The sequence below is a fragment of the Homo sapiens genome, chromosome 12 (assembly GCF_000001405.40).
Source record: "Homo sapiens chromosome 12, GRCh38.p14 Primary Assembly".
Taxonomy (NCBI): Eukaryota; Metazoa; Chordata; class Mammalia; order Primates; family Hominidae; genus Homo; species Homo sapiens.
The window spans coordinates 53,418,166-53,441,520 of NC_000012.12; the positions used below are offsets into that span (position 1 = coordinate 53,418,166).

The 23,355-nt window shown below is 49.6% G+C and overlaps 1 protein-coding gene across 17 annotated transcripts, besides 5 other annotated features; it reads left to right on the forward strand.

Moving 5' to 3' along the window:
• Nucleotides 3,008–3,574: an enhancer, noted in NCBI's record as "H3K27ac-H3K4me1 hESC enhancer chr12:53814957-53815523 (GRCh37/hg19 assembly coordinates)". NCBI's record gives its function as "activates a minimal SCP1, AML or CMV promoter by ChIP-STARR-seq in primed H9 embryonic stem cells {active_cell/tissue: H9 hESC(primed)}" and the evidence as "EXISTENCE:reporter gene assay evidence [ECO:0000049][PMID:30033119]".
• Nucleotides 3,008–3,777: a biological region, named in NCBI's record as "CRISPRi-validated cis-regulatory element chr12.1897". NCBI's record gives its function as "regulatory_interactions: AMHR2".
• Nucleotides 3,259–3,777: a transcriptional cis regulatory region, noted in NCBI's record as "candidate enhancer chr12.1897 targeted for multiplex CRISPR interference". NCBI's record gives its function as "positively regulates AMHR2 gene expression in K562 cells {active_cell/tissue: K562}" and the evidence as "EXISTENCE:mutant phenotype evidence [ECO:0000015][PMID:30612741]".
• AMHR2 (anti-Mullerian hormone receptor type 2) lies at nt 5,690–13,507 on the forward strand. Of its 17 annotated transcripts, none has more exons than XM_011538173.2 (12): nt 5,690–5,818; nt 6,123–6,305; nt 6,544–6,735; nt 7,000–7,077; nt 7,290–7,408; nt 7,521–7,754; nt 9,712–9,768; nt 10,731–10,845; nt 11,288–11,460; nt 11,666–11,813; nt 11,981–12,117; nt 13,012–13,507. In XM_011538173.2, exons 1-12 carry the CDS (start codon nt 5,770–5,772, stop codon nt 13,306–13,308), a joined length of 1,782 nt encoding a protein of 593 aa, XP_011536475.1. In that variant the 5' UTR covers nt 5,690–5,769; the 3' UTR covers nt 13,309–13,507. The 17 variants fall into 17 exon arrangements, with proteins under 17 accessions (XP_011536475.1, XP_011536476.1, XP_011536480.1 ...); XM_011538174.2 differs by having other exon boundaries at nt 7,524–7,754; XM_011538178.2 differs by having other exon boundaries at nt 7,290–7,322; nt 7,654–7,754.
• Nucleotides 22,541–23,306: an enhancer, noted in NCBI's record as "H3K27ac-H3K4me1 hESC enhancer chr12:53834490-53835255 (GRCh37/hg19 assembly coordinates)". NCBI's record gives its function as "activates a minimal SCP1, AML or CMV promoter by ChIP-STARR-seq in naive H9 embryonic stem cells {active_cell/tissue: H9 hESC(naive)}" and the evidence as "EXISTENCE:reporter gene assay evidence [ECO:0000049][PMID:30033119]".
• Nucleotides 23,037–23,126: an enhancer, noted in NCBI's record as "active region_6421". NCBI's record gives its function as "activates an Ori minimal core promoter by ATAC-STARR-seq in GM12878 lymphoblastoid cells {active_cell/tissue: GM12878}" and the evidence as "EXISTENCE:reporter gene assay evidence [ECO:0000049][PMID:35858748]".

Sequence of the window (23,355 nt, forward strand, 5' to 3'; positions counted from 1 at the left end):
TCAGCCTCCCAAGTAGTTGGGACTACAGGCACGCGCCATCACACCCGGCTAATTTCTGTATTTTTTGTAGAGACAGGGTTTCGCCATGTTGCCCAGGCTGGTCTGGAACTTGTGAGCTCAAACAATTCACCTGCCTCAGCCTCCCAAAGCGCTAGGATTAAAGGCATGAGCCACTGCGCCTAGCCCAGGCTACTTTGTTCAGCATCCATCATTTACCAGAAATTTTCCTGTTAGCATCAGCCATCTGGTTGCCAGCTCTGGTGATCTTTCAATTATTAACCTCTTAGACCTCACTGCTTCAATGTGCTGCTTTTGACTACTGTATCTTAGAGCTTTCTTCCCATAGAATGTGACACTGATACACTCTTGGTTCTCCTTCAAATTTCTTTTCTTTTTTTTTTTTTTTTTTTTTGAGCTGGAGTCTTGTTCTGTCACCCAGGCTGGAGTGCAGTGGTGTGATCTCGGCTCACTGCAACCTCTGTCTGCCGGGTTCAAGCAATTTTCCTGCCTCAGCCTCCTAAGTAGCTGGAATTACAGGCACCGGCTGCCACGCCCAGCTAATTTTTGTATTTTTAGTAGAGACAGGGTTTCACCATGTTGGCCAGGCTGGTCTTCAACTCCTGACCTCAGGTGATCTGCCTGCCTCGGCCTCTCTCAAAGTGCTGGGATCACAGGCGTGAGCCACCGTGTGTGGCACATTTCTATATTTTTTAGTCTCCTTCATAGCCACTTCTTCCTGTGTCCCTTTAGTATTTGTGTTCCTGTCTCGTGTCCTTTCCTTTCCCTACCCTTTTCCCTCTTAAACTCTAACATAAGACTCTAACATAAGACTGTGTCCATGTTGATGACTCCCAAATCTTGAGCCCTAACTTGTCTCTTGACCTGGAAGTCTGCTTGCTAGACATTTTCATCTGGATGTCCTCCAGATAAATTCAACACAGTAGAAGGAGAAATAATTCTTTGTGTTTCACATCTCCCTTAATAATATCACCCACTGCTCCTTGATCACTCATACTTGAAACCTCAGAATCATCTTTTAGTTCTCCCTTTCACCTACTAACACTAATTTGATTGCCAATCCTGTCAACATTACCTATACAATATATATCAAATTTTTCCTCTTTTTTTTTTTTGAGATGGAGTCTCGCTCTGTCGCCAGGCTGGAGTGCAGTGGCGTGATCTCGGCTCACTGCAACCTCCGCCTCCCAGGTTCAAGCAATTCTCCTGCGTCAGCCTCCTGAGTGGCTGGGATTACAGGCGCGCGCCACCACGCCCAGTTAATTTTTGTATTTTTAGTAGAGACGGGTTTTCACCATGTTGGCCAGGGTGGTCTCCATCTCTTGACCTCGTGATCTGCCCGCCTCGGCCTCCCAAAGTGCTGGGATTACAGGCGTGAGCCACCACGCCCGGCCTCCTCTTTTATTTTCATTTCCACTGTCTCAGTACTCACTTTGTTTACTGCTTAGGTCTTGCAACTGATCTCTCCAAACCCCAGTAGTCATCCATCTTCCAATTGCCACCAGGCCCCTGCCTAAAATTCTTTGCTTTTAGGGAAAGCCTAAGCTCCTTGATACAGAATTGAAAACCTGTCCAATCTGGTCCGTCTCTCTCTAAGGTGATTTTCTGTCTCATATCTCATACTGCTTCCTCCTCACTCCTTCCACCTTTAACACACAAGCCTTTGTGTTTATATCTCCATGCCTTTACTCTTGCCATTCCCTTTGCTTAGAAGGACTGTTCTCCTCTTACCATTGTGTTTACCTTTGGGACTATTTAAATATCCCCTTCTCTGTGAAACTCTCTGGGCACCTTTCTTCTATGCCCTAGGCAGAATTAGCTTACTTGATCTATTTGTATAGCTCCTTCCTCATGCCCCTAGTAGGAAACACAGTTTTCCGGTTGCTTGTCAATATCCACCTGCATTTCTACACTATGAGTTCCCAGAGGGCAGTAATCACACCTCTATCTTTGTAGGCCCAGCACCTAATGAAATACATTTTTTTTGGCCCCGCGCAGTGGCTCACGCCTGTAATCCCAGCACTTTGGAAGGCCTAGGCGGTGGATCACCTGAGATCAGGAGTTTGAAACCAGCCTGGCCAACATAGTGAAACCCCATCTCTACTAAAAATACAAAAAATTAGCCAGGCATGGTGACAGGCATCTGTAATCCTAGCTACTTGGGAGGCCGAGGCAGGAGAATTGCTTGAACCCAGGAGGCGGAGGTTGCAGTGAGCGGAGATTGCACCACTTTACTCCAGCCTGAATGACAGAGTGAGACTCCGTCTCAAAAAAAAAGGAAATTTTTTTTTAAAAATAATATAGGTGGGGGTCTCGCTATGTTACCCAGGGGGACTCCTGGCCTCCCAAAGTACTGGGATTACAGACATGAACCACAGCGCCCAGCCTCTATCACCATCTTAACTCTAAAACCTAACAGCCCAGAGCAGGTATAGTTCCCATAAACCTGACTGGAATGTTTCTATCTTGGAAAGAATTAGTTATCCGAAGCTTTGGGTGAGGAGACTGCCTTTCTGCCTGATCCTTACGCTGCTCCCACTCTGGAGGAGATAGTCTCCTGAGACATTCCAGACAAAAGAAGCTATTTCACCTTCAAATCTCCCCTCACACCCCACCACACACACCACCCCAGACTTATCTGATCTGGGGCTAGTGAAGGAAAGTAGCTGGAAGCACAACATTCCATCTCACTGGCAAGGCCCTGCAGACTCCTGGAAGGGTCCAAAGAAGGATGGGCGGCTATCTCGAGCCCTGGTCATTCCTCCCGCTGCTGTTTCACAACTACTGGAACTTTTACTATCTCTTCCTTTCATGCAGGTTTCCCAGAAGAAAGACCCCAGAATCAAAAAGTCAGTACTCAAGCTGGGCGCAGTGGCTCCCGTCTGCAATCCCGGCACTTTGGGAGGCCGAGGGGGGCGGATTACCTGAGGTCAGGAGTTTGAGACCAGCCTGGCCAACATGGCGAAACCCCGTCTCTACTAAAAATACAAAAATTAGCCGGGCGTGGTGGTATGCGCCTGTAGTCCCAGCTACTCAGGAAGCTGAGGCCGGAGAATCGCTTGAACCCGGTAGGCAGAGGTTGCAGTGAGCCGAGATCGCACCACTGCACTCCAGCCTGGGTGACAGAGCGAGACTCCGTCTCAAAAAAAAAAAAAAAAAAAAATGTCGGTACTCAGACTGTCCTCCCTGGTCTAAGCCAGATCATTCCAAGAAAGGGTTTCCAGGAAGCCACTAGGGGGACAGAAAGCTAGGGAAACAGAGAACAAGTCCCCTCTGACTCTTAATTCTCAAGGAGCCAGTGGCTCACAGGTGTGGAAGTGATTACCTATTTCTGTTGTTTCTTACTCTGGGAAAGAGTCTGGTGGAGTTGGACTCCTCTGTCTCTACTGCAGAACAAGCCATAGCCCTCTCCTCCCAACTCCATGCTGAAACTCTCCACATCCTGTGCCCGCCCTTCACATTTTATAGTCCCTGAAGCTTAGTAAATGTAGGAGGTATACTATATGTATTAGTCATCAGAGGAGGTACTTTCTGCCCTCTCACCGCAGCAGGGAATTTCTCCTCTGCTGACCTCTGGTGGTGATAGTTTGAACTGTACCCTCCCTTTTTAGTTAGTGGCCTGTTGGCAGGTAATGATGCATATTTTCTCAACAATTTAAATTCAAATGTCCAAGTATAGTATTAAGTGGTAATTTTTTTTCATTGTTGAATTTTGTACGTCTTTCAGGCAGTATAGTGTAATACAAAGAATAGAGCCGGCCGGGTGCGGTGGCTCACGCCTGCAATCCCAGCACTTTGGGCGGCCGAGGCGGAGGGATCACGAGGTTAAGAGATCGACCCCTTCGGCCGGGCGCAGTGGCTCACGCCTGTAATCTCAGCACTTTGAGAGGCCGAGGCGGGCGGATCACGAGGTCAGGAGATCAAGACCATCCTGGCTAACACGGTGAAAACCCGTCTCTACTAAAAATACAAAAAATTAGCCGGGCGTGGTGGCGGCCGCCTGTAGTCCCAGCTGCTCGGGAGGCTGAGGCAGGAGAATGGCGTTAACCCGGGAGGCAGAGCTTGCAGTGAGCCGAGATCGCGCTACTGCACTCCAGCCTGGGCGACAGAGCAAGACTCCATCTCAAAAAAAAAAAAAAAAAAAAAAAGATCGACCCCATCCTGGCCAACATGGTGAAACTCCGTCTCTACTAAAAGTACAAAAATAATAATAAAAATAAGACTAGAACCTGGACTTTGGAGTCAGACCTGCCTAAGTTCAAATTCCAGCTCTGCTATTTCCTAGCTGAATGACTTTGGGCGACTTACGTAAGTTCAGTTTTCTTACCTATAAAATGGAAATAATAAAAATAATAGGCCAGGCACAGTGGCTCACACTTGTAATCCCAGCACTTTGGGAGGCCAAGGCGGGCAGATCACGAGGTCACGAGATCGAGACTATCCTGGCCAACATGGTGAAACCCTGTCTCTACTAAAAATACAAAAATTAGCTGGACATGGTGGTGCGTGCCTGTAATCCCAGCTACTCGGGAGGCTGAGGCAGGAGAATCGCTTGAACCAGGGAGTCAGAGGTTGCAGTGAGCCAAGATGGCACCACTGCACTCTAGCCTGGTGACAGAGCGACACTCGGTCTCAAAAAATAAATAAATAAAATAATAATAATAAATATTTCAGGGGAGAATTAGATGAGATGATTGTAAAATGCATAGCCCTAGCTGTGCCCCAGCACATAGTAGGTGCTTGATAAGAAATTTGTTACCTCCTTAATAATGGGTATTTGTTCAGCCTGTGAACCAATGTGTTTTTTTTTTTTAAGTAAAATCCACGGCTAGGCATGGTGGCTCACGCCTATAATCCCAGCACTTTGGGAGGCCGAGGCGGGCAAATCACCTGAGGTAAGGAGTTCGAGACTAGCCTGGCTGACATGGTGAAACCCCGTCTCTACTAAAAATACAAAAATTAGCCAGGTGTGGTGGCAGGCGCCTGTAATCCCAGCTACTCAGGAGGCTGAGGCAGGAGAATAGCTTGAACCCAGGAGGCGGAGGTTGCAGTGAGCTGCGATCGTGCCACTGCACTCCAGCCTGGGGGAGAAGAGCGAGACTCCGTCTCAAAAAAAAAAAAAAAAAAATCCACATAGCAAAATTTACCATTGTTACTGTTTTCAATGTGTTTTTTAAAAATTCAGGTAAGTTTTGTATACTTTCTGATTCTTAAGTTGGAAAACAAGGTAACCTCTAATATGGGCTGTGAGGCCTTCCTCTGCCCAAGCAGTTGCAGATATGAACCCTGAATATAAAGAGATCTTAGGCTAGAAAGGATCTTGGGCAGAGCTGAATGGCTCTAAGCATTTGACCTCACATTGGTTTCCTCCTGAGAAGAGTCAACAGAGTCCAGCATCTTCTTCCAAGGTCAGGGAAGGGCAAAGATTTGAAATTAGGCATCACTGGGTTCTCAGCTGGGCCTCCAAGTTCCCCTCCTCTCACTATGCAGAGCAAAGAGGAGGTTGCAGAAGAGAAGAGGATATGAGATTGGTTCTCTGCTCCTCCCTTTCTTTCCCTGCTTTCCCCACACCCACCCTCTCCCCCACAGCAGCCTTCTCCCCCACAGAGGCTGGGATAGGATGAGGGGGGCGGAGTTGGGGACTGAGGGATCAGAAGCCCCAGGATGCCCTGTATCTGAAGAAAGATTTGGCCAGGGGCAGCTGTGCTGGCTTATGCTCTTCTCCTTCTGCTGCTGCCATCCTCCAGCAAGATGCTAGGGTCTTTGGGGCTTTGGGCATTACTTCCCACAGCTGTGGAAGGTAAGTGTCTACAGGGAGGGGAAGGGTCTCTCCATCCATCCAGCAAGGGAAAGGGGCGCTTGAAGCAAGAGCCACCCCTTTGGAAGAGTGGTGAGTGGGCTGGGTGAGTAAGGGTGAAGGATAGAGCCATGTGTCCCCATGGCAGGGCTCAGGTTCCAGGCCTCTGCTGACCCTGCTTCCTCCTGTGGCTTTACCATACTGACGCTGGGATGTGGAACATGTTTTGTCTATTCTTTTGGCCAGTTTTTTGCCTCTGCATTCACTCCCACCTTGAATCTTTTCCTTTCCCCACCCTGGGCCTCAGCACCCCCAAACAGGCGAACCTGTGTGTTCTTTGAGGCCCCTGGAGTGCGGGGAAGCACAAAGACACTGGGAGAGCTGCTAGATACAGGCACAGAGCTCCCCAGAGCTATCCGCTGCCTCTACAGCCGCTGCTGCTTTGGGATCTGGAACCTGACCCAAGACCGGGCACAGGTGGAAATGCAAGGTGAATGGCAAAGTATATGGCAGGTGATGGCTAGGGTGGGAGACAGACACATCCTGGGGTGTGGGTGGCAACCAAGGGGGAAGGGGAGAAATAGAACATCTGGTGGGAAAGAAAAGCCCATGAGAGCTGGAAGGGACGCCTCTGATAGAGAAGGGATTTACCCTCTGTTTCCACACCCCATTGTGCTTTCTTCCTTGCCCCCCCTTTCTCTCCTCTTCCCCTAATCCCATCCCATCAGGATGCCGAGACAGTGATGAGCCAGGCTGTGAGTCCCTCCACTGTGACCCAAGTCCCCGAGCCCACCCCAGCCCTGGCTCCACTCTCTTCACCTGCTCCTGTGGCACTGACTTCTGCAATGCCAATTACAGCCATCTGCCTCCTCCAGGGAGCCCTGGGACTCCTGGCTCCCAGGGTCCCCAGGCTGCCCCAGGTAGCCACCCAAGGGTACTGAAGCCTGATGGGGGCTGGGGCCCAGGTTAGGATGAGAGGTGGAACCAGGGCCAGTTCTCACCCTACTCCCGCCCCACGCTTTCCTCCTCCTGGCCTTGGGAAGTTGGTTGCCCTGGTGACTGGGAGATAAGGGGTCTTGTGACCAGGGTGGGGGTGGGTTGAGACGCAAGCTCTCAGGAGGGGAAGAGCAGAGAGCAGGTTTGGGTCAGTGCTCTCCAGCCTGCATTCTTGCCTTGATGTCCAGGTGAGTCCATCTGGATGGCACTGGTGCTGCTGGGGCTGTTCCTCCTCCTCCTGCTGCTGCTGGGCAGCATCATCTTGGGTACTAATCCACCCCATCCCTCCCTTGTGACCCCAAGACATTGCCCCAAAAGCTCTGACCCCTCTCCAGGCACCCCTGACCCCATGGTCTTGGGATCTCTATAGCCTGATTCCCGGACTCCCATGACCTCTCACAAAGCTCCCTTTCCACGAAGTCCCTTTTCCTGTCCCTATGCATTTGCACCCTGACCCTAAGGCTCTTGTCTGTTCCAGCCCTGCTACAGCGAAAGAACTACAGAGTGCGAGGTGAGCCAGTGCCAGAGCCAAGGCCAGACTCAGGCAGGGACTGGAGTGTGGAGCTGCAGGAGCTGCCTGAGCTGTGTTTCTCCCAGGTGCCCCAGGGAGGGAGAGAAGGGCTCCTCTGGGCACTCCTGGAGGTTGTGCTGGGGAGGAATCCTGGCCCTGTTATAGCTCAGAGGCCCACACTCAGCACAGTGTCCCCAGCAGGTAATCCGGGAAGGAGGTCATGCAGTGGTTTGGGCCGGGCAGCTGCAAGGAAAACTGGTTGCCATCAAGGCCTTCCCACCGAGGTCTGTGGCTCAGTTCCAAGCTGAGAGAGCATTGTACGAACTTCCAGGCCTACAGCACGACCACATTGTCCGATTTATCACTGCCAGCCGGGGGGGTCCTGGCCGCCTGCTCTCTGGGCCCCTGCTGGTACTGGAACTGCATCCCAAGGTGAGCACCAAGGAGTGTATATGTGTGTGTGTGTGCCTGTGTGTATGTATAGAGGTGGGGGCTACATGGCAGCTGGGCCCTGTTGATTGCTTCTGCTTTCGATTTTCTCTTTTCTAAAACATTAAAAATGGCCAGGCGAGGTGGCCCACACCTGTAATCCCAGGACTTTGGGAGGCCAAGGTGGGTGGATCGCTTAAGCCCAGGAGCTCAAGACCAGCCTAGGCAATATGAGGAAACCCCATCACTGCAAAATTACAAAAATTAGCTCAGCATGGCAGTGCACACCTGTAGTCCCAGCTACTCAGGAGGCTGAGGTGGAAAGATCGCTTGAGCTTAGGAGGTTGAGGCTGCAGTGAGCCGTGAGCATCCCACTGCACTCCAGCCTGGGAGACAGAGCGAGACCATGTGAAAAAATAGTAACAGGCTGGGCACGGTGGCAGACGCCTGTAATCCCAGCACTTTGGGAGGCCAAGGTGTGAGGATCACTTGAACCCAGGAATTCAAGAACAGCCTGGGCAACACCGTGAAACCCCACCTCTACAAAAAACAAAAAATTGGCTGGGTGTGATGGCACATGCCTGTGGTCCCAGCTACTTGGGAGGCTGAAGTGGAAGGAGCACCTGAGCCTGGGGAGGTCAAGGCTGGCAGTGAGCCAAGATTGTGCCACTGCACTCCAGCCTAGGTGACAGAGTAAGACCCTGTCTCAAAATAATAATTTTTATTTATCTTTTTTATTACATAAACAATACATGTTTATATATTTTTATTTTATTTTGGTGGGAGGACGGAGTCTTGCTCTGTTGCCCAGGCTGGAGTGCAGTGGCACAAGCTTGGCTCACTGCAACCTCAGCATCCCAGGTTCAAGCGATTCTCCTCCCTCAGCCTCCCCAGTAGCTGGGATTACAGGCGCTTGCCACCACGCCTGGCTAATTTTTGCATTTTTAGTAGAGACGGGGTTTCACCATGTTGGCCAGGCTGGTTTCAAAATCCTGACCTCAAGTGATCCACCCATCTTAGCCCCCCAAAGTGCTGGGATTACAGGTGTGAGACACCGTGCCCAGCCAAAAAAAAAAAAAAAAAAATTGTTAAAGAAATATCTTCAGGCACAGCCCTCCAAACTCATTCGTATTCATTCAACAAATAAGTATGAACTATATGTCAGGCACTATGCTAGAGGCCACAAAAAACACACAGTCCCTCTTTTACAGATTTTATAGACTAGCAGGGGAGACAGAAATGGATCAAGTAAACACGAGTGTCAAATGTCAAGTGTGCTAAGTGCTAGGAGAGAGGGCCAATGAACTATAAGAATAATAAGATGTGACTTGAAGGGGAGAGCAATGAGCAACAAGAAGAGGAAAAGGTAGGCAGAGGCCAGCCACACCAGGCCCTGTGGGCCTGTTAAATATTTGGGGCTTTTTAAGTTTTCATACCATTTCCCATCTGCTTCCTGCTAGGCATTACGCTACCCGCTTTTTATTTTATTTTATTTTATTTTATTTTTTAGACAGAGTCTCATTCTGTTGACTAGGCTAGAGTGCAGTGGCACAATCTTGGCTCACTGCAGCCTCTACCTCCTGGTTTCAAGCAATTCTGCCTCAGCCACCTGAGTAGCTGGGATTAAGGCGTGCCGCCACTACTCCTGGCTAATTTTTGTATTTTTAGTAGAGACGGGATTTCACCCTGTTGGCCAGGCTGGTCTCAAATTCCTGACCTCAAGTGATCTGCCTGCCTCGGCCTCCCAAAGTGCTGGAATTACAGGCGTGAGCCACCCCGCCCGGCCATGCTACACGCTTTAAACACATTTCCAAACTTACCCTTCACAAACACATTATGAGATAGGAATGATTATCCACATGGGGCTCAGAAAAGGAAAGTCATTTGCCCAGAATCTATGTGACTCTAGAGCTGGCTCCTCATCATCGTGTCTATTGCCTCCTGTTTACCCCTCCATCAGGACTGTGTGTGTCTCTGTCCACGTGGAAGAGCTCCCCACAACTCACTTTGCCCTATTGTAAGTAGTTCAACCTCCACCACCTGTTTCAGAGCCCAAATGCAGTGGCTCTTCCCTGAACTTTTTCAGCACCTACAGCTTCTGTACTTCTGAAATCTTGAATGATGGAAAGTCCCTTCTTTGACCATATACCTCCTGGCCCAGCTCAAAAATCACTGTTTTTTTGTTTGTTTAATTTCTCTGACTTCTCCAGGCAGGGTTAGTCATTCTTGCTTTATGCCCCTTGGCACTCGGTTAATTTTCCTATCTTGGGGTTTACTGCATTCTTTATCTCTTACCTTCCCTGAGCCATCTTGGTGCCTGAACACAGTTCGTGGCCACCGAAGGTGCTCGATGACACTTGTTGAATGAGGGGTTCTATTGCTCCCTTCCCTCCAATTCCCACTTGCCCTCCACCTGCTACTCTGTTATCTACTGGCTCTGCCCGTCTATGTGTACACATGCCTGACACCTCAGACAAGGTGACTCATGAAGGATGCCCCTGACTAGCTTGCCCTGCCTCCTCTGTTACTGTCTTTGCCGCATGTCTTCTGAGTCAGTATAAGGTGGTGGTTATTAGTAAGTGATCCTGAGTCAGACTGCTTGGATTCAAGCTCCACTCCTGCCTCACCGACTGACTTCAAGAGAGTTTCCTTAGTTCTGTAAGGAAAAGCTCTTCATCTGTTAAATGGGGGTGTGACAGGAGCACCTACCTTCTAGGGTTTTCACAAGGATTACAGGAGGCCACATCCACTGGGTCTGGACCACAGTAAGTGCCCAGTACCCTTGATCTAGAGTTACTATTTTTCATGTCAATTGATGCACAGTCTTACTCCTCTACCTATTGTCTTGGCCAGCATCCATCAGTGTGTCTGTCTGCTGGGGAGATGCAGGGAGAAGACTGTCAATTGATCTCTGCTCCCTGGGATGGATCAGCCGTCTCCAGCTTTGTGTACCATCCTTTTCTCTCTGCGTTTCCCCAGGGCTCCCTGTGCCACTACTTGACCCAGTACACCAGTGACTGGGGAAGTTCCCTGCGGATGGCACTGTCCCTGGCCCAGGGCCTGGCATTTCTCCATGAGGAGCGCTGGCAGAATGGTGGGTGAGCTGGGCATAGGAAGTCAAGGGAGCCACAGTGCTATGTTTGTGATTCTGCCTTAGTTTGGAGGGGAAAGATTGGGTCAAAAGAGGGAGGAAGAGCCGGGCACGGTGGCTCACGCCTATAATCCCAGCACTTTGGGAGGCCGAGGTGGGCGGATCACAAGGTCAGGAGATCGAGGCCATCCTGGCTAACATGGTGAAACCCTGTCTCTATTAAAAATACAAAATATTAGCCGGGCGTGGTGGCATGTGCCTGTAGTCCCAGCTACTCGGGAGGCTGAGGCAGGAGAATCACTTGAACCCGGGAGGCGGAGGTTGCAGTGAGCCGAGATCGCGACACTGCACTCCAGCCTGGGCGACAGAGCGAGACGCCGACTCAAAAAAAAAAAAAGAGGGAGGAAGAAAATCCATGTTCCTTCAACCTTGGATTCCCCCACAGGCCAATATAAACCAGGTATTGCCCACCGAGATCTGAGCAGCCAGAATGTGCTCATTCGGGAAGATGGATCGTGTGCCATTGGAGACCTGGGCCTTGCCTTGGTGCTCCCTGGCCTCACTCAGCCCCCTGCCTGGACCCCTACTCAACCACAAGGCCCAGCTGCCATCATGGAAGTGAGTTCTCTGGATAACTGGTGAGGCCCAGGATGATGTTGGTGCTGCTGATGGCAATGCAGCCATTGTGTGTCAACAGTTGTAGCAATACCTATAGCATTTGGGACATTGCTGAGTCTGTAGTTGGGGGGATATTGCATGGACCATTGCTGCAATGAGGATTGCCACAGAGATGATTCTTGGCCCTTCGTGCCTTGCTCTCCAGGCTGGCACCCAGAGGTACATGGCACCAGAGCTCTTGGACAAGACTCTGGACCTACAGGATTGGGGCATGGCCCTCCGACGAGCTGATATTTACTCTTTGGCTCTGCTCCTGTGGGAGATACTGAGCCGCTGCCCAGATTTGAGGCCTGGTAAGGATGGGTGGTACAGTCCCCTCTCCTGGGCTCCCCCCCGCCCATTCTAGGTTCACCCCAACCTGACCTGGCCTGAGAAAGCTCTGCTCTTCCCTGTCTTGCCCTTTCTACATGGTAGGCACCCCTAGGACTAACTGATACCCAGCCCCTCTACCTTCCTCCAGACAGCAGTCCACCACCCTTCCAACTGGCCTATGAGGCAGAACTGGGCAATACCCCTACCTCTGATGAGCTATGGGCCTTGGCAGTGCAGGAGAGGAGGCGTCCCTACATCCCATCCACCTGGCGCTGCTTTGCCACAGTAAGAGGCCTAGGCTGTTGGTCTGGGAACCTGGAGAGTGGGGGCTGGGCATGGGCTTCAAGGACGTCTCTGCCAGAGTGTCTGTCTACTCCTATCTCCACTTATCTCCCATCACTCCTTGGTTCATGCTCAGCTGGAACTGGGCAAGCCTCCTCTCCCCGTCAGTTCATCCTCTTCCACCCTAAGTCTCACACAGTCGATTCCATCTACCTGAGACACACACCTTCCTCCTGCTCAACCTTGCCCAGCCTGTCTCTCCTCTCTGCCATCAGTTAGCCCTGTTCCTCAGTCCCCTTCTCCAGGAAGCCCTCCTTGGCTTTGCTCTTGCCCTGAGCTCTGCCCCATCTGCTCTCCTAATACAGTAAAGCCCAAAAATCAATTCAATAAGTCCCCATTCTGTCATACATTGATGATGTTTCTGCTGTGACCCAATAAAAGGCAGTTCTAGGTATAAAAGGTGAAAGCAGTGGCGTCACAGTGAAAGTTCAGGGCTTTGCACAAATACTTTTTTAACAAAATGTCCCTTCTGTACCTGATCTGAAATTTCCACGGCACAAGTCTTAGGTTGGCTGACAGAAACTGGGCATTACTTGCAGAAGACTCTGGCTCTCTGAGAGGAAAGAGAGTAATTTCCCATTAGCATATTAAGCTGTCAACCTACATTAGCTCCTCAGAGGAAACAGTGGGCTATACAGAAGGCCCCCAGAGAGCCTGTTTCATAGGGAGCAAGACTCAGAGGGCTGGAATTCAGCAAGAGGGAGAGGAGGGAGGCTCCAGGAAAGATCAGAAGTGGATGTTGAAAGCAGGAGAGTGATGGACACTGAAGATGGCTTTTAACCCTGGGGCCCACTCAAGATCCTAGGGTCAACCCTTCCTCCCTGTCATTCCCCCCAGGACCCTGATGGGCTGAGGGAGCTCCTAGAAGACTGTTGGGATGCAGACCCAGAAGCACGGCTGACAGCTGAGTGTGTACAGCAGCGCCTGGCTGCCTTGGCCCATCCTCAAGAGAGCCACCCCTTTCCAGAGAGCTGTCCACGTGGCTGCCCACCTCTCTGCCCAGAAGACTGTACTTCAATTCCTGCCCCTACCATCCTCCCCTGTAGGCCTCAGCGGAGTGCCTGCCACTTCAGCGTTCAGCAAGGCCCTTGTTCCAGGAATCCTCAGCCTGCCTGTACCCTTTCTCCTGTGTAAATATGCAGTTTATGTGTCATCAATGTACATGCCAACATAAATATGGCGATTGTATAGCTGTCTTGTCTGCCTCATCACTGCATTTCCCACCTGCCGAATCCTTGGATTCTTCTGCGGGCATCCAGTCCACATCAGTTCTGACCAGTGACTTGGGGTAGGTGTGCACAGGAAAGAGAATAAAGTCAGCTTTCCTGATGCATATCCTTGGTCCTTCCTCTATTCCTGTAATCCAGGGACCCTCTTGTCTCTCTTCTTTTCCACTAACATTTATTTTTATTTATTTATCTGGTTTCTTTTTTTGGAGACAGAGTCTCTGTCCAGTCTGGAGTGCAATGACACGATCACGGCTCACTGCAGCCTTGTCCTCCCTGGGCTCTTGTGATCCTCCTGCCTCAGCCTCCTGAGTAGGAGGGACCACAGGCATGGACCACGATACCCAGCTATTTTTTTTTTTTTTGAGACAGAGTCTCACTCTGTCACCCAGGCTGGAGTGCAGTGGCACAGTCTCGGCTCGGTGCAAGCTCCGCCTCCCGGGTTCACGCCATTCTCCTGCCTCAGCCTCCCGAGCAGCTGGGACTACAGGCGCCCACCACCACACCCGGCTAATTTTTTTTATTTTTAGTAGAGACGGGGTTTCACCCTGTTAGCCAGGATGGTCTCCATCTCCTGACCTTGTGATCTGCCCACCTCGGCCTCCCAAAGTGCTGGGATTACAGGCATGAGCCACCGCGCCCCACCTGATTTTTTATTTTTTGTACAGGTGAAGTCTTGGTATGTTGCCCAGGCTGGTCTCAAACTCCTGAGCTCAAGCAGTCCTCCTTCCTCAGTGTCCCAAAGTTCTGGGATTACAGGCATGAACCACTGCACCCAGCATTTTAAATTGTTTATTATTTTTTAAATTTTATTTATTTATTTATTTAGAGACGGGGGTCTTGCTCTGTCGCCCAGGCTAGAGTGCAGTGGCACGATCTTGGCTCACTGCAAGCTCCGCCTCCTAGGTTCATGCCATTCTCCTGCCTCAGCCTCCTAAGTAGCTGGGACTACAGGCGCCCGCCACCACGCCCAGCTAATTTTTTTGTATTTTTAGTAGAGATGGGGTTTCACCATGTTAGCCAGGATGGTCTTGATCTCCTGACCTTGTGATCTGTCCGCTTCAGCCTCCCAAAGTAAATTGTTGATTATTTTTATTTTTATTTTTGAGATAAGCTCTTGTTCTGTTACTCAGGCTGTGATCATAGCTCACAGCATCCTTGACCTCCTGGGCTCAAGCGATCCTCCCAGCTCAGCCTCCCAAGTAGCTGGGACTACAGATGTGTGCCACCACACCTGGCTAATTTTTGTATTTTTTCATAGAGACAAGGTTTTTCCATGTTGCCCAGGCTGGTCTTGAACTCCTGGGCTCAAGCGATCCACCTGCCTAGGACTCCCAAAGTGCTGGGATTACAAGTATGAGACACCACACCCAGCCTCAACATTTATTTTTAAAGGTGGGATCTCATGGTGGGCACTGGGGAAAGAAGGGTAAAGACAACAAAATCACTGCCCTAACAGTGCTTAAAGACCTGCACACCACATTGTTGGGTTCCTGTACGCTGTCCTGGGGGTAACAGGAGAGACTTGAGCAGGAATGCTTCACAGAGCACAGGATGCTTGAGCTGTGTCTTAACTGAGAGGAGTTTCCCAGGAGCATGTTCTTGTCCCTTTCTGTGACCCAGCTCTCATCCACATCCAGTCAGTTCTCAAGTCCCACTGAGGCAGCCTAGGCAGGGGCTACTTCTCCTTTTTCTTTTCTTTTATTTTTTTGAGACGGAGTCTCGCTCTGTTGCTCACGCTGGAGTACAATGGCGGGATCTCAGCTCACTGCAACCTCTGCCTCCCGGGTTCAACTGATTCTCCTGCCTCAGCCTCCCAAGTAGCTGGGACTACAGGCGCCCGCCACCACGCCCAGCTAGTTTTTTGTATTTTGTAGTAGAGACGGGGTTTCACTATGTTGGCCAGACTGGTCTCAAACTCCTGACCTCGAGATCCACCCGTCTTGGCCTCCCAAAGTGCTGGGATTACAGGCATAAGCCTCTGCACCTGGCCTTCTTTTCTTTCTTTTTTTTTTTTTTTTGAGACGGAGTCTCACTCTGTTGCTCAGGCTGGAGTGCAGTGGCGCAATCTTGGCTCACTGCAAACTCTGCCTCCCGGGTTCATGCCATTCTCCTGCCTCAGCCTCTGGAGTAGCTGGGATTACAGGCGCCCACCACCACGCCCAGCTAATTTTTTGTATTTTTAGTAGAGACGGGGTTTCACCATATTAGCCAGGATGGTCTCGAACTCCTGACCTCAGGTGATCCACCCTCCTCGGCCTCCCAAAGTGCTGGGATTACAGGCATGAGCCACCGTGCCCGGCTCTTTTTCTTTCTTAATCAACCTACATCATACTTTGATGGGCAGGGCCTGCTTCTGGGCACCATCCCTCTTTCCTTCTTCCTAGGCCTGGCAGGGCCCAACTACTACAGTTACCCCTTGGTAGGTTATGTTTCCCCTGATCTAGGCTAAACAGTACTCTTTGGATATTCTTTATTTTTAAAAGAAATTTTTTTTCAGATGGAGTATTGCCCAGGCTGGAGTGCAGTGGTCCGATCTTGGCTCACTGCAGCCTCCATCTCCCAGATTCAAGCGATTCTCCTGCCTCAGCCTCCCAAGTAGCTGGGACTACAGGCATGTGCCACCATGCCCGGCTAATTTTTGTATTTTTCATAGAGACAGGTTTCACCATGTGGGCTAGGCTGGTCTCAAACTCCTGACCTCAGGTGATCCATCCACTCTGGCCTCCCAACGTGCTGGGATTACAGGTGTGAGCCATTGCACCCGGCCTGGATAATCTCCTAACTTTCATTATGTCTTGCCTCTGCTCAACAGTGTTCTTGGGTTTTTCATGACAATCCTGTGAGTACCATTTACAGAGGAAGAGGGCTCAGAGAAATTTAGAAACACATCTAAGGTCACACAGCTTTTAAATAACAAAGCAAAGACTTTCAGCCCTTAAAAATGTTTGGCTGGGCACGATGGCTCACGCCTGTAATCCCAACACTTTGGGAGGCTGAGGAGTGCGGATCACCTGAGGTCAGGAGTTCTAGACCAGCCTGGCCAACATGGTGAAACCCCATGTCTACTAAAAATACAAAAATTTGCCAAGTGTGGTGGCACGTGCCTGTAGTCCCAGCTACTCAGGAGGCTGAGGCAGGAGAATGGCTCGAACCTGGGAGGTGGAGGTTGTAGGGAGCCGAGATCGCACCACTGCACTCTAGCCTGGACTCCGTCTCAAAAAACAAAACAAAACAAAAAAAACCTGAGCCCAGTGGCACGCGCCTGTAATCCCAGCACTTTGGGAGGCCGAAGGGGGCGGGTCAAGAGTTCGAGACCAGCCTGACCAACATGGTGAAACCCTGTCTCTATTAAAAATACAAAAGTCAGCTGGGCGTGGTGGTGCGCACCTGTAATCCCAGCTACTCAGGAGACTGAGGCAGAATTGCTTAAACCCGGGAGGTGGAGGATGCAGTGAGCTGAGATGGCACCACTGCACTCCAGCCTGGGCAACGGAGCCAGACTGTCTCAAAAAAAAAAAAAAAAAGAAAGAAAGAAAGAAAAAAAGAAAAGAGTGTACAAACATGCTGATGAGCATAAGGCTATGTTCAATCAAAAGTAAATCTATGGGCTGGGCGTGGTGGCTCACACCTGTAATCCCAGCATTTTGGGAGGCCGAGGCAGGTGGATCACCTGAGGTCAGGAGTTTGCGACCAGCCTGGCCAACATGGTGAAACCCCGTCTCTATTAAAAATACAAAAATTAGGCTGGGCACGGTGGCTCACCCATGTAATCCCAGCACTTTGGGAGGCTGAGGTGGGCTGATCACGAGATCAGGAGATCGAAACCATCCTGGCTAACATGGTGAAACCCCATCTCTACTAAAAATACAAAAAATTAGCTGGCTGTGGTGGCCGGCACCTGTAGTCCCAGCTGCTTGGGAGGCTGAGGCAGGAGAATGCATGAACCCGGGAAGCGGAGCTTGCAGTGACCCGAGATTGCGCCACAGCCTGGGCGACAGAGCGAGACTGTCTCAAAAAAAAAAAAAAAAAAAAAGGAGATTGCTTAAAGCCAAAAAATATAGGTTATAATCTTGTCTCTCCTAACTGTGAACTCTTAGAAAAGTTTATTTTTCTCAGGAAATTGAATGAATGTTTCTCTAAGTCATTTCCAACCCTATAGTTCCATGATTCTGTGATAAAATGATAAAATATGAAAGTCCCAATTGTGAAGATGAGTTTACCAAATCCAGTGTTTGCCTAATGTGATATTCCCATGAGTAGTGATTGCATGCTTGTGGAGAAGTATTAGGCATGTAAATACACTTTTTAGAAACTGGGCCCGGTGCAGTGGCTCACGCCTGTAATCCCATTACTTTGGGAGGCGGAGGCAGGCAGATCACCTGAAGTCGGGAGTTTGAGACCAGCCTGACTAACATGGAGAAACCCCGTATCCACTAAAAATACAAAATTAGCCAGGCGTGGTGGCACATGTCTGTAATCCTAGCTACTTGGGAGGCTGAGACAGGAGAATCGCTTGAACCTGGGAGACTGGGGTTGTGGTGAGCCGAGATCACGCCATTGCATTCCAGCCTGGGCAACAAGAGCGAAACTCCATCTCAAAAAAAAAAAAAAAAAAAAGAAAAGAAAAGAAAAGAAAAAGAAATGTCTGGAGTAGGCAAACTTTTTTTTTTTTTTTTTTTTTGAGACAGAGTCTTGTTCTGTTGCCCCCAAACTGGAGTGCAGTTGTGCGATCTCGGCTCACTACAACCTCTGCCTCCCTAGTTCAAGGGAGTCTCCTGTCTCAGTCTCCCAAGTAGCTGGGATTACAGCGCATGCCACCATGCCCGGCTAATTTTTGTATTGTTAGTACAGATGGAGTTTCACCACATTGGTTGGGATAGTCTCAAAATCCCAACCTCGTGATCCACCCGCCTGGTGACCTCCCAAAGTCCTGGGATTACAGGTGTGAGCCACCGCACCCGGCCAATACTTTTTTGAAACTTGATAATCTTCCAAGAAAGAAACAATGTGTATATCTAAGTTTCCTAGAGTTTAGAAAACCTTCCAAATTATTTCAAGTATTTTGCACAAACCTAATATAAAAATATATCAAAATGTAGTATTTGTTTGTTTTTGTTTTGTTTTTTTGAGATGGAGTGTCCCTCTGTCACCCCGGCTGGAGTGCAGTGGCATGATCTTGGCTCACTACAAGCTCCGCCTCCCAAGTTCATGCCATTCTCCTGCCTCAGCCTCCTGAGTAGCTAGGACTACAGGCATCAGCCACCACGCCCCTCTAATTTTTTGTATTTTTAGTAGAGACAGAGTTTCACCCTGTTAGCCAGGATGGTCTCGATCTCCTGACCTCGTGATCTGCCCGCCTCGGCCTCCCAAAGTGCTGGGATTACAGGCGTGAGCCACCGTGCCCAGCCTGTTTGTTTTGAGACAGGGTCTCATTCTGTGAGTGAGACTGGAGTTCAGTGGCATGATCTTGACTCACTGTAACTTCTGTCTCCCAGGCTCCAGTGATCCTACCACCCCAGCCTCGTAAGTAGCTGGGATTATGGGCGCACACAACCATGCCCAGCTAATTTTTCTATTTTTTGTAGAGACAAGATTTCACCATGTTGGCCAGGATGGTCTCGAACTCCTGAGCTCAAGGGAATCCACCAGTCTCAGCCTCCCAAAGTGCTGGGATTACAGGCATGAGCCACCCCACTCAGTCAAAAGATAGTCTTGTTATGTAAGATACTATCACTGGGGGAAGCTGGGTAAATTTTACAACTTCTTGTGAGTCTAAAATTATTTCAGAATAAAAGAACACTGTCTAGGCAATACCACTCAGGACATAGGCATGGGCAAAGATTTCATGATGGGATCACCAAAAGCAATCGCAATAAAAGCAAAAATTGACAAATGTGATCTAATTAAACTAAAGAGCTTCTGCACAGCAAAAGAAACTATCATCAGAACAAACAGGCAACCTACAGAATGGGAGAAAATTTTTGTGATCTGCCAAAGTGTCTAATATCCAGAATCTAGAAGAAACTCAAACAAATTTACGAGAAAAAAACAACCCCATTAAAAAGTGGGCAACGGCCAGCCTCCCCGTCCGGGAGGGAGGTGGGGGGCGGCCCCCGCCCGGCCAGCCGCCCCGTCCGGGAGGTGGGGGGTGCCTCTGCCCGGCCGCCCCTTCTGGGAAGTGAGGAGCCCCTCTGCCCTGCCGCCACCCCGTCCGGGAGGTGTACCCAACAGCTGATTGAGAACGGGCCATGATGACGATGGCGGTTTTGTCGAATAGAAAAGGGGGAAATGTGGGGAAAAGATACAGAAATCAGATTGTTGCTGTGTCTGTGTAGAAAGAAGTAGACATAGGAGACTCCATTTTGTTCTGTACTAAGAAAAATTCTTCTGCCTTGGGATGCTGTTGATCTATGACCTTACCCCCAACCCGGTGCTCTCTGAATCATGTGCTGTGTCCACTCAGGGTTAAATGGATTAAGGGCGGTGCAAGATGTGTTTTGTTAAACAGATGCTTGAAGGCAGCATGCTCGTTAAGAGTCATCACCACTCCCTAATCTCAAGTACCCAGGGACACAAACACTGGGGAAGGCCGCAGGGTCCTCTGCCTAGGAAAACCAGAGACCTTTGTTCACTTGTTTATCTGCTGACCTTCCCTCCACTATTGTCCTATGACCCTGCCAAATCCCCCTCTGCGAGAAACACCCAAGAATGATCAATTAAAAAAAAAAAAAAAAAAGAGATAGGAAAAAAAAAAAAAAAGTGGGCAAAAGGCCAGGTGCGGTGGCTCACGCCTATAATCCCAGCACTTTGGGGGGCCGAGGCGGGCGGATCACGAGGTCAGGAGATCAAGATCATCCTGGCTAAGAGGGTGAAACCCCGTCTCTACTAAAAATATAAAAAATTAGCCAGGCACGGTGGCGGGTGCCTGTAGTCCCAGCTACTCGGGAGGCTGAGGCAGGAGAATGGTGCGAACCTGGGAGGCGGAGCTTGCAGTGAGCCAAGATCGTGCCACTGCACTCCAGCCTGGACAACGGGGCCAGGGCGAGACTCCGTCTCAAAAAAAAAAGGGGGGGGCAAAGGACATTAACAGACATTTCTCAAAAGAAGATATGCAGCCGGCCGGGCGCGGTGGCTCACGCCTGTAATCCCAGCACTTTGGGAGGCCGAGGCGGGCGGATCACGAGGTCAGGAGATCGAGACCATCCCGGCTAAAACGGTGAAACCCCGTCTCTACTAAAAAATACAAAAAATTAGCCGGGCGTAGTGGCGGGCGCCTGTAGTCCCAGCTACTTGGGAGGCTGAGGCAGGAGAATGGCGTGAACCCGGGAGGCGGAGCTTGCAGTGAGCCGAGATCCCGCCACTGCACTCCAGCCCGGGCGACAGAGAGAGACTCCGTCTCAAAAAAAAAAAAAAAAAAAAAAAAAAAGAAGATATGCAGCCAACAAACATGAAAAAAAGCTCAACATCACTGAACATTAGAGAAATGTAAATCAAAACCATAATGAGATACTATCTCATGCCAGTCAGAATGGTGATTATTAAAAAGTCAAGAAATAACAGGCCAGGCCTGGTGGCTCATGCCTGTAACCCTAGCACTTTGGGAGGCCAAGGGTGAGTGAATCACTTGAGGTCAGGAGTTTGAAACCACCCTGGCCAGCATGGTGAAACCCTGTTTCTACTAAAAATACAAATATATATATGTATATATATATGGCAGGTGTGGCGGCAGGCACCTGTAATTCTAGCTACTCGGGAGGCTGAGGCAGGAGAATCGCTTGAACCCGGGAGGCAGAGGTTGCAGTGAGCTGAGATCCTGCCACTGCACTTCAGCCTGGGCGACAGAGCAAGACTCAGTCTCAAAAAAAAAAAAAAACCCAAAACCAAAATCCAGATGCTGGCAAGGTTGTGGAGAAATAGGAACATTTTTACACTGTTGGTGGGAGTGTAAATTAGTTCAACCATTGTGGAAGACGATGTGGCGATTCCTCAAAGATCTAGAACCAGAAATACCATTTGACCCAGCAATCTCATTACTGGGTGTATACCCAAAGGAATATAAATCATTCTATTACAAACATACATGCATGTGTATGTTCACTGTAGCACTATTCACAATAGCAAAGACATGGAATTAATCCAAATGCCCATCAACAATAGACTGAAAAACTGTGGTACATATATACCATGGAATACTATGTAGCCATAAAAAGGAATGAGATCATGTCCTTTATAGGGACATGGATGAAGCTGGAAGCCATTAACCTCAGCAAACTCATGCAGGAACATGTTCTCACTCAAGTGGGAGCTACACAGTAAGAACACATGGACACAAGGAGGGGAACAACACACACTGGGGCCTGTTGGGGGGTAGGGTCAGGGGAGTGAGAATATTAGGAAAAATAGCTAATGCATGCTGGGCTTAATACCTAGCTGATGGGTTTATTGGTGCAGCAAAATTTGTGCAGCAAACCAGCATGGCACACATTTAACTATGTAACAAACCTGCACATCATGCACATGTACCCCAGCACTAAAAATAAAAATTAAAAGAAAAAAAGTTTAAAATATTTCAAATGCTTTAGTTTAATATGACATATTTGGCATAAAATTTATTGTCTTAAATTTTTTTGTATCCCACTTTTTTTTTTTTTTTTTTTTGAAACAGAGTCCTGCTCTGTTGCTTAGTCTGGAGTGCAGTGGCATGATCTTGGCTCACTGCACCCTCTCCCTCCCAGGTTCAAGCGATTCTCATGCCTCAGCCTTCCCACTAGCTGGGATTACAGGTATGTGCCACCATGCCTAGCTCACTTTCTTTCTTTCTTTCTTTCTTTTTTTTTTTGAGATGGAGTCTCGCTCTGTTGCCCAGGCTGGAGTGCTATGGCGTGATCTCGGTTCACTGCAACCTCCCGGGTTCAAGCGATTCTCCTGCCTCAGCCTCTCAAGTGGCTGGGATTACAGGCACATGTCACCACGCCCGGCTAATTTTTGTATTTTTAGTAGAAACGGGGTTTTACCATATTGGCCAGGCTGGTCTCGAACTCCTGACCTTGTGATCCGCCTGCCTCGGCCTCCCAAAGTGCTGGGATTACAGGCGTGAGCCACTGCGCCCGGCCACTTGTATTTTTTTTTTTTTTTTAAAGGCTGGGTACGGTGGCTCACGCCTATAATCCCAGCACTTTGGGAGGCCGAGGCGGGCAGATCACGAAGTCAAGAGAGCGAGACCATCCTGGCCAACATGGTGAAATCCCATCTCTACTAAAAAATAGAAAAATTAGCCGCGTCTGTAGTCCCAGCTACTTCGGAGGCTGAGGCAGGATTATCGCTTGAACCCGGGAAGCGGAGGTTGCAGTGAGCCGAGGTCGCACCACTGCACTCCAGCCTCGTGACAGAGCGAGACTCCGTCTCAAAAAAAAAAAAAAAAAAAAAAAGGGAGGCCATTGTAGGGAGGCCATTGTAGCAATTCAGGGGAGAGATGAATCCAGGCGACAGATGATGGGAGGTTTGGAGCAGGGAAGACAGAGAGAAGTGGAGAGATTCCAGATATATTTGAGAGACAAAACTGATAATTTGGGGTAAGGGAGGTGAAGGAGGCAGAGGGATCACGGACGCCCTCCTTGGTTTCTGGTTTAGGCTACTTGACAGATGGCGGAGCTATGCAATTGAGAGAGGGAATCCTGGGAGAGATTATGAAATCTCTGTATCTTCCGCAAGAATGTTTGTTTGCTTCCCTTGCGAGTGTAAGACGGAGCCGGGAACATTGAGGCTTGGGGCTGGGACTCAGCAGCTCTTCTGCCCTTGCCGAGAACTCTGTCTATATCTGTATTACAACACTTACCATAGTGTATTCATTTTACAAGGTATTGCACCCAGTGAACCATGAGGTAAGAGAGCAAGGGAAGAGTTTCTTCTCGGTGTCTCTAGGACTTTGCCCAGCAGCTGGCCCCGCCCCCTC

Coding starts and splice junctions, on each gene's coding strand:
- AMHR2 (XM_011538173.2), top strand. CDS start 5,770: ATGCTAGGGTCTTTGGGGCTTTGGGCATTACTTCCCACAGCTGTGGAA. Junction 6,306..6,543: donor GGCACAGGTGGAAATGCAAG/GTGAATGGCAAA, acceptor CCATCCCATCAG/GATGCCGAGACAGTGATGAG. Junction 9,769..10,730: donor ACAACTCACTTTGCCCTATT/GTAAGTAGTTCA, acceptor GCGTTTCCCCAG/GGCTCCCTGTGCCACTACTT.